This window comes from Homo sapiens, chromosome 1 (assembly GCF_000001405.40).
Source record: "Homo sapiens chromosome 1, GRCh38.p14 Primary Assembly".
Lineage (NCBI taxonomy): Eukaryota > Metazoa > Chordata > Mammalia > Primates > Hominidae > Homo > Homo sapiens.
In genome coordinates this window covers 26,615,393-26,625,276 of record NC_000001.11, presented here as the reverse complement: position 1 = coordinate 26,625,276, position 9,884 = coordinate 26,615,393, and the positions used below count along the sequence as shown (strand labels likewise).

The window sequence follows — 9,884 nt, the reverse complement described above, 5'->3', positions numbered from 1 at the left end:
TGTATTTTTAGTAGAGACGGGATTTCTCCATGTTGGTCAGGATGGTGTCGAACTCTTGACCTCAGGTGATCCACCTGCCTCAGCCTCCAAAAGTGCTGGGATTACAGGCGTGAGCCACCGTGCCCGGCCTCTTTATTTAATTTTTATACAGACAGGGTCTCACACTGTTGCCCAGAGTGGAGTGCAGTGGTGTGATCATACCTCACTGCAGCCTCCAACTCCTGGGTGCCAGCAATTCCCATGCCTCAGCCTCCAAAGTAGCTAGGACTACAAGTGAGCACCACCACACCCAGCTGATTTTATTTTTATTTTTATTTTTTTGTAGAGACAGGGTCTTGCTATGTTGCCCAGGATAATCTCAAACTCCTGGGCTCAAGTGACCACCCCCCAACCTTGGCCTCCCAAACAGGGATTACAGGCATGAACTACTGTGCCTGGCCTGTAAAGTGGTTTTCTTTGAGGGGTGAATGGATAAGAGCTTGGGGTCTGCCAGGCACGGTGGCTCGCGCCTATAATTCCAGCACTTTGGGAGGCCGAGGCAGGTGAATCACGTGAGGTCAGGAGTTCGAGAACAGCCTGGCCACCATGGTGAAAAATATCTGTACTAAAAATACAAAAAATTAGCTGGGCGTGGTGGCAGGTGCCTGTGGTCCCAGCTACTCGGGAGGCTGAGGCAGGAGAATGGCGTGAACCCAGGAGGCGGAGCTTGCAGTGAGCTGAGAACAGGCCATTGTACTCCAGCCTGGGCGACAGAGCAAGACCCCGACTCAAAAAAAAAAAAAAAAATTGGCTGGGCGCGGTGGCTCACTTCTGTAATCCTAGCACTTTGGGAGGCCGAGGCGGGCGGATCACCTGAGGTCGGGAGTTCCAGACCAGTCTGACCAACATGGAGAATCCCCATCTCTACTAAAAATACAAAATTAGCCAGGAATGGTGGCGCACGCCTGTAGTCCCAGCTACTCAGGAGGCTGAGGTACCAGGAATGGTGGCGCACGCCTGTAGTCCCAGCTACTCAGGAGGCTGAGGCAGGAGAATCGCTTGAACATGGGAGGCGAAGGTTGCAGTGAGCCGAGATCGTGCCATTGCATTCCAGCCTGTGCAACAAAAGCGAAACTCTGTCTCAAAAAAAAAACAAAAAACAAAAAAATTAGCTGGGCATGGTGGCGGGTGCCTCTAATCCCAGCTGAGGAAGGAAAATTGCTTGAACCCGGGAAGCGGAGGTTGCAGTGACCCGAGATGGCGCGACTGCACTCCAGTCTGGGCAACAAGAGCGAAACTCTTGTCTCAAAAAAAAAAAAGAAAAAAAAAAAAAAGGTTTTGGGCCTGTCAAACCTAAATCAAAGGGTTCTGCCCCCTTCCTACTTTAGGAAAGTTTGAAATCCAGTGTAAACTAGATTTAATACTGGTCTTCCTTAGAACTCCTCATCAAATCTATGTATGTAGGCAAGTGCTTAAATCCAAGACAATTTCATCCTTCCTCAATTAAAAGCTATGTATGTGAACACATATGTAAAGCTAAACAGTACATAATTCCTAAGACTTTACCATCTTTCTTCAGTATTTTAAATCTTAGCCGGGCATGGTGTCTCATGCCTGTGAACCCAACACTTTGAAAGGCCGAGGCAGGAGGATTGCTTGAGGCCAGGGGTTGGAGATCAGCCTGGGCAACATGGCAAACCTCCCCGCAATCTCTCCAAAAAAAAATTTAAAAATTAGCTGGGCATGGGTTATGATTGAGCCACTGTTCTCCAGCCTGGGCAACAAAGAGAGATCCTGTCCCTAAAAAATTAAAAATTAAAAGTTTTTGGAGAGCTGGCCACCCTTACACTTACATTTCTCTTTCCTGCCATTCATTCCTATCATCTTATTTTTTAACATCGGACTGTGTCATCATTCTTCATATTCCTATTACATCACTGCCTACTCCTGTTTCTTTCTATTTGGACAATTCTTAGTTATTTACTGTTCCCATCTCTTCATCTACATATTCAGAACCTGAGCCTGGCGCGGTGGCTCACGCCTGGAATCCCAGCACTTGGGAGGCCGAGGCGGGCGGATCACGAGGTCAGGAGATAGAGACCATCCTGGCTAACACGGTGAAACCGCGTCTCTACTAAAAATACAAAAATTAGCTGGGCGTGGCGGCGTGCGCCTGTAGTCCCAGCTGCTGGGGAGGCTGAGGCAGGAGAATGGCATGAACCCGGGTGGCGGAGCTTGCAGTGAGCCGAGATCGCGCCACTGCACTCCAGCCTGGGCGACAGAGCGAGACTCTGTCTCAAAAAAAAAAAAAAAAAAGAACCTGAGAGCAGCACTTAAGGAGAGAAAAAAGCATTTTGGAAACCTCCAATTAATATATAACTTAAGCGATAAAATAATGGAATATTAAGGCTGGGCACGGTAGCTCACGCCTGTAATCCCAGCACTTTGGGAGAGCGAGGTGGGCCGATCACCTGAGGTCAAGAATTCGAGAACAGCCTGACCAAAATGGCGAAACCCCGTCTCTACTAAAAATACAAAAATTAGCCGGGGCCGTGGTGGCACGCACCTCTAATCCCAGCTACTTGGGAGGCTGAAGCAAGAGAATCGCTTGAACACGGGAGGTGGAGGTTGCAGTGAGCTGGCGCCACTGCACTCCAGCCTGGGTGACAGAGGGAGACTCGGTCTCGAAAAAATAATGAAATACTCTAGACGAAAACAATGAATTTTTACCCATATAAGCCTGTGGTGGAGAAAAGTTTTATCTCTACCACTAGATTGATTACTTTTTAAAAAATTTTTTATAAATAAAACCAACCATATTAACAAAAAGGAAAAGGTATCTTTTATTTTATTATTTATTTATTTATTTATTTTTGAGATGGAGTCTTGCTCTGTCGCCCAGGCTGGAGTGCAGTGGCGTGATCTCGGCTCACTGCAAGCTCCGCCTCCCGGGTTCACACCATTCTCCTGCCTCAGTCTCCCGAGTAGCTGGGACGACAGGCGCCCGCCACCACGCCCAGCTAATTTTTTGTATTTTTAGTAGAGACGGGGTTTCACTGTGTTAGCCAGGATGGTCTCTATCTCCCGACCTCGTGATCTGCTCGCCTCGGCCTCCGAAAGTGCTGGGATTACAGGTGTGAGCCACCGCGCCCGGCCAGGAAAAGCTATCTTTTAAAATTAAAATGGTAGTTTGGTGTTTTTTTGAGGGGTCACATTTCATGAAAATGTTCTCAAACCCTAAGGAACAGTGTTGAGCCGGGACAGCGAATAGGATAATTACAAAATCTAAGAGAAAGCATTACACATCGTGCTTAAAAACGACTTTACGTTTAAAAGATAACCTGTCTCACGTCTATAAACCCCGTATGCCAGCTAAAATCTCTCACTGGCCCTTCTTCTAACGTAAGTCATCGTTACACAGTTGACCTGCGATGTACATTATTTCTATGGCTTTTGCTAACTGGGCTGGTGGTGTTTGGTCAGAAAGCTTGAGGGTCCTAAGAGGAAAGGTTTAGGCGCTGGTTTTCTAAGGTTGCTTAAATTAGAGAAAGTCGAGGGTTTATCCTTCTAGCGGCAGTTACGGTGCTGGATTTCGGGAACTCGAGGAGCCTTTAGGGGTCAGGCCGTCAGAGCCGTGGACCTTAATTTCCCCATCTCTAAAATGGGGAAGGAGGCTGCTCTCTGAGGAAGGCAGGAATACAGGATCATAACCCGCCGCCCAGCCAACGTGAGAGCAGCCATCCAGTAAGAGCAAGGAGGCGGCGGGGCGGAGAGGAGCGAGAACAAGGCAGTTTGCAGGAAGTGCTTCAGGGTTGGGAGGGGAGACTGAGGGCGGAGGCGGGAATGTGAAAGCTGAGCTCTAGCTGCGGAGTTTGTACCGAAGCTCAGGAAAGGCGGGTCGAAAAAACTGGGGTGAAGGGGTTATTCAGTGGATGGGCAAGACGGGCCGCCTCTCCCGAAGAGAGAGAGCTGGATGCGGGGAAGGCTCTGAGGTGGCGGCTGAGGAACGTGGGGGAAAGGGGGAGGTGAACGCGCTCAGAAAAGGGGCGGGAAGCGCGCGCCCAGCACCTCTAGTCCGCAGACCCGGGTTTCTGACCGCGCGCTCAGCGTCGACGGTGCGGACGCTAGAACGGCAGCCGCGCGGCCCTCCTCGCCCCGCCGGGATCTGAGAGGCCCGCAGCGTGTCCCTCGAAGTGGCGGGCGGGCTCCTGTCTCCTCGGCCGGGAGTTAGGAAGCCGAGGAAGGGAACACGTTGTTCTCTTTTGCTCTTTTCGTTCCCCTCCCCCACGAAGAATAGGGCAGGAGGCCCTGGGCGTGTCGGAGCGAGTCCGCTCCGGGTTTTCCCGCCCACTTCAACTCTGTGAGCCCTTCGACCGCGCGGCGCTTCACTCCACCGGGCGCGCCCGAGCCCTCCGCCGGAACTCGTTCCGCCTCCCCCACACATCCTTCTCCAGGAATGGAAGTGGGCGCTCAGACCTAACTACCTGAGATCCTGCTGGCTGGGCCGCTACCCCTTATCTCTTCGGGGTTCCAACTCCGACAGCCCCTCGCAACTAGAATTCCCCTCTAACAAGGTCGCTCTGAGGGACTACTTGATGTCTCCGTGCGCTCGGTGGTGCGGCCGCGCTCTGAGCTCTTCCTGGAAACTCCCGCCTCGGGGAGCCAGGAGAGCCGGGCCGGGGGGAGGGGTGCGGAGGGGACGCACACGCCCCCTGTCCCGCGGGAGGGCTCCGCGCCCCCGCCCTTCTCTCCGCGGATGGGAGGGAGGGCGCGAGCGGGGGAGGGGAGGGAGTGGGGCGCGGAAACGGAGGGGGGGCGGCTTCCCGCCCCATCCCCCGCCTCTAGAACAACGGGTTCCCGCTGCTGCCCCCTGCCGCCCACAGTGCTCTGCGCCCCTGCGGGGCTCCGAGAGGGGCGTCGGGGGCGCAGCTGCCGCCGGGGCCGTGGGAACCAGAGCTGAGAGACACAAGAACTGACCGGTTTCCTGTCAGAAAACTTCCAGTTACTTTAGAGAAGCACGTTGGGCCAACTTGTCCCAGTCTGCGTGGGCCACATTTCACTCGCCTAGTGACCTCCCTTCTACTTTAAAACAACGGGGAGTAATCTTGGGGGAAACGGTCGGTTGGTAAAACGAAGAGCAACAAACGCCACGCTGCTCTGCTCTGAGCCAAATGAATTAAAGTACTGATTGTGGAGAATTTTTAAAGGGCTACCAACAGAAGGAACTCGGGTTTTTCGAGTGACAGCTTTTCCCCCGTCTGTACACTAAGATTTAAGTCACGAGAGTTTTTTACAGCAGTACATTCGCTTGTAAGCTTACTTGAGTTTGTGATTTTTAAAAACCTCATGAACTTTTCAAAAGAGAGGCGTTTGTTTCTGAATCCAACAGGAAAAACACGAATTCGAAAGAGCCTGAAAAAGTTCAATTAGAATAGCAGCCACATTTCAACATTTCCCAGATTTTGCAATATTAAACTGTGAGGGTTTGTGCCAAATGTTAAGGCAAGAATTCTTACTGCCAAATTACAAATTTCTCAAAATGAGGGGTGATCAACCAAATTGCTGCCAGACCCCATAAACAGGCACTAACAGCACTGCTATAATTACACCTTATTATCTCCCTCGCAGCCTTATTTGATTCACTGCCGGATAAAATTTTCATCCCGGGTGTCACTAGCTGGCCTTTTTCTGGGGCTGAACAATCGCACACCTCCCATGCCTCAGTTCGTTCAAGGAACCCAATAACCCGTCGCCCTCTATTCTATTCTCTAGTACATCTCTTCCTCAAATGCAACTCCAATCAGATAGGATATTTTCACCCAACGTCCCTTGGGACTGAAAAATGAAAACAAACTTATCAGAATCACAGGAAAATTTCTTCTTTGAAGAAAAAGATTTAGGCCAAGAAACCAAATTTGTTGTTTAACTTGAGCCCCCTAAGGGGATTTAGCATAGTGGGCTGAATGCGGTTAAACCAGCTTAATCACTTTCTTTGTTCTGGGCTCTTTGCATTTATTTAATGTGTTTTAACACGATTTAACACAATCTAAGCTAATTTCTTCAGTGTTAGTGTAGCATCTATATTGTAGACCATACAACACAACCAAACGTAAGTTTCTGTGGAACCCATGACATTTTGTAGACTTCTGTACTAAACTGCTATATGACCAAGACTTTAAAAGTGGGTTTTATTCGGGGGCGGGGTGGGGGGGCGGGGAGTGGAAGGAGGTCATGTTTTCATGTTTTTTTTTAATCCAAATATTTAAAAAGCACAAAATATTGTCCACGTAGACCACTTAATTCTTCTGTTAGATCAGCTAGGAGCCACAATTACACATTTTTGTCTGAAAAAAAAATTTTTTTTTTTGCAACAGGAAGAAAAGGAAGAGATCATGCTGGATCTCATCTGATAGATTATGATTCTTCTGGCATTTACGCTCCCTCTTAAATAACAGTTCTACCCTGCTCTTAACCAGCCCAAGATTGAGGGGCATTCATTCACAAATGACTCTTGAGCCTCTTTCTGAATGTCTACTTCCTTATAAAGCCAAAACCTCAATACCAACGCTTCAGTAATCCAGGCTTGTAAAGATGCAGGCAGAAAACCCAAGTGCCTGGAAGAAATAATTTTTCTGTTCTACCTTTAACTTATCTTACAAACATGCAGGAATAATAATAGCTGTGAGCCAGACACTGTTTGTTCTAAGCCCTTTATAAGAATTAACTCCTCAAATCGCTTGAGCCCAGGAGTTCGAGACTAGCCTGGGCAACACAGTGAGACCTTGTCTCTATTAAAAATAAGAAGTTACCCAGGTGTGGTGGTGCATGCCTGTGGTCCCAGCTTACTCAGGAGGTTGAGGCAGGAGAATTGCTTGAGCCCGAAAGGTCGAAGCTGCAGTGAGCCAGGTTGGGGCCACTGCATTCCAGCCTGGGTGACAAAGGAAGACCCTGTCTCAAAAAAATAAAATTAGGCTGAGTGTGGTGGCTCATGCCTGTAATCCCAGCACTTTGGGAGGCCGAGGCAGGTGGATCACCTGATGTCAGGAGTTCGAGACCAGCCTGGTCAACATGGTGAAACCCCGTCTCTACTAAAAATACAAAAGTTAGCTGGGCACGGTGGTGCGTGCCTATAGTCCCAGGTACTCGGGAAACTGAGGCAGGAGAATCACTTGAACCCAGGAGGTGGAGGTTGCAGTGAGCCGAGATCGTGCCACTGCACTCCAGCCTGGGCGACAGAGTGAGACTGACTCAAAAAAAAATTAAATTAAAAATTATTTTAATTAGCCCAAACAGGGCTAAGAAGTGAGTACAACTGAATTGTTGCCACTATTTTACAGATAGTACATGGAGACACAGAGCAGTAAGCTGGCCCAACAACACCTAGCCTGGAAGGAACAGAGCTAGGATTTGAACCCAGACTGTTTCCATTATGTTTTCCACATCACCCAAGCTGTTTATAAGTTTAAATGTCCATAGAGTGAAGAGTATCATTAATTTACCACCTTTTGCATTCATAATATCTCCTATATGAGTAAGTCCTGGGCCATATTTTTTTCCTTTGGAACTCTGATAAAGTGAAATATGTGGAGATCTACTTAGGAAAAGCATTCCCAAATCAGATTACTTTCTTGGAAGCTAGCCTCAGACTGTCAGGATATGCATTGTAAGTGCTAAGCAGGACAAACACACCCAGCCTCACTGGTTAATAATGTTTCAAGCTGGGCACAGTGGCTCACGCCTATAATCCCAGCACTTTGGAAGGCTGAGGCTCAGAGGTCGCTTGAAGCCAGGAGTTCGAGACCAGCCTGGCCAACATGGTGAAACCCTGTCTCTACTAAAAATACAAAAATTAGCCAGGCATGGTGTCATGTACCTGTAGTCCCAGCTACTTGGGAGGCTGAGGCATGAGAATTGCTTGAGTCTGGGAGGCAGAGGTTGCAGGGAGCCGAGATGGTGCCACTGCACTCCAGCCTGGGTGACAGAGTGAGACTGTCTCAAACAAGACAAAAATGTTTCAGAACACGTCTACCTTACATTATAAAAAAGCAAGACAGTTTTTCTGACTTGGATTCTCTGATGTTGGAAAGGTAGAAACCAGGAGGTAAAGTGGGATGAGAGAAGGCGATGGAAGGAAACTGAGAGAAAATAAGTGTAACATATGTGCACATGGAGAAATCAGTACCACATGCAAAGAATGAGGATCAAGGTCATGCAGAATAGAAGTGTGTGGGTGTGTTATGACAGAACTAGAAGAGGAGCATAAACATGAAAATCAAGTACATGGCAAGGGGAGGTGGTGGGGAGTCAGGTTGGTGGTTTTCTTCAAATAAGTGATGGTATTAGAAGATGAGACCAAAAGAAAAAAATTAATTCAAATTTTAGCCTGTATTAATAGAAATATAGCATCTGGAACATGGAAAGAGCCTCAATTTATTCTGTATTAGACCACACGTAAGCAATATGTTCTCTTTTAGAAGGATGTAATAGAACAACCAACCAAGATGGTGAGGGAACTTCTTCACAAACCCTGGCTTATGAAGAAGAGTTGAGAATTCATGAGTGATCAAAGACCATCTTGAAACACCTGATGGACTATTATGTACAAAGAAATTAGACTTGTCCTGGGAGGCCCCAAGGCTCCGGAACTAAGAGATAGGAACTTCAGAAACATATGTTTTAGCTCAGAATATGGAAGAAGTCATGTGAATATGAAATAGGCTGCCTTGGAATGTAACAAGCTGCACATCACTCAGTGGAGGCAAAGTGTGAATTGTCACTGTCCTATATAATGTTTAAGGTGCCTTTCATCCTTATTCTGTGCTTCACTTGGACACTGTAAAGAGGGGGAAAATAACATAACCTACCTCATTAGGTTGTTGGAAAGCACCTAGCACTCTCCAAAAGTCAGCTGATAACATTCTTGAAGTTCTAAGGTTCAATATTTCTGAATTTATCAGTGGGTAATTATCCTGTGTTTATAGATCACTTCTCTGACATTATCAATATTATCCTGAATGGTGGCTTTGGTATCACTCAGCATCCTTGGGATATTCTTGTGTACCTAAAACTTACTTAGTAGTGTCCAGGGAGCAATATTGTGACTTCTACACCACTAGAATCTTAAAAATTGAATTGTGGCCAGGCACAGCAGCTCATGCCTATAATCCCAGTACTTTGGGAGGCCGAGGTGGGCGGATCAGTTGAGCCCAGGAGTTCAGGACAAGCCTGGCCAACATGACAAAACCCCATCTCTACTAAAAATACAAAAAAAAATAGCCGGGTTTGGTGGTGGGCGCCTGTAGTCCCAGCTACTCGGGAGGCTGAGGCATGAGAATCGCTTGAACCTGGGAGGTGGAGATTGCAGTGAGTGGAGATCAAGCAAGACTCTGTCTCAAAAAAAAAAAATCGAATTGTAACACCACACTGCAATTCTAGAGGCCAACAACATGTTAAAATAATGTGGGCAGGGCACAGTGGCTCACACCTGTAATCCCAGCACTTTGGGAGGCCAAGGCGGGCAGATCACGAGGTCAGAAGTTTGAGACCAGCCTGGCCAACATGGTTAAACCCTGTCTCTACTAAAAATACAAAAATTAGCCGGGCATGGTGGCGTGTGCCTGTAGTCCCTGCTACTTGGGAGGCTGAGGGAGGAGAATTGCTTGAACCCAGGAGGCGGAGGTTGCAGTGAGCCGAGATTGCACCACTGCACTCCAGCTTGGGCGACAGAGTGAGACTTTGTCTCAAAAAAAAAAAAAAAAAAAGAAGATAATGAAAAAAGATAATGTGAACTGGCCAAGAATCGCTTGAACCCAGGAGGCGGAGGTTGCAGTGAGCCAAGATTGTGCCACCACACTCCAGCCTGGGCAACAGAGTGAGACTCTCTCTTTCTCAAAAAAAAAAAAATA

The 9,884-nt window shown here is 47.9% G+C and overlaps 4 annotated features.

The window, feature by feature from the left end:
* Nucleotides 3,324-4,039: an enhancer, noted in NCBI's record as "H3K27ac hESC enhancer chr1:26947729-26948444 (GRCh37/hg19 assembly coordinates)". NCBI's record gives its function as "activates a minimal SCP1, AML or CMV promoter by ChIP-STARR-seq in naive H9 embryonic stem cells {active_cell/tissue: H9 hESC(naive)}" and the evidence as "EXISTENCE:reporter gene assay evidence [ECO:0000049][PMID:30033119]".
* Nucleotides 4,017-4,236: an enhancer, noted in NCBI's record as "active region_514". NCBI's record gives its function as "activates an Ori minimal core promoter by ATAC-STARR-seq in GM12878 lymphoblastoid cells {active_cell/tissue: GM12878}" and the evidence as "EXISTENCE:reporter gene assay evidence [ECO:0000049][PMID:35858748]".
* Nucleotides 4,277-4,416: an enhancer, noted in NCBI's record as "active region_513". NCBI's record gives its function as "activates an Ori minimal core promoter by ATAC-STARR-seq in GM12878 lymphoblastoid cells {active_cell/tissue: GM12878}" and the evidence as "EXISTENCE:reporter gene assay evidence [ECO:0000049][PMID:35858748]".
* Nucleotides 4,637-4,946: a silencer, noted in NCBI's record as "silent region_485". NCBI's record gives its function as "represses an Ori minimal core promoter by ATAC-STARR-seq in GM12878 lymphoblastoid cells {active_cell/tissue: GM12878}" and the evidence as "EXISTENCE:reporter gene assay evidence [ECO:0000049][PMID:35858748]".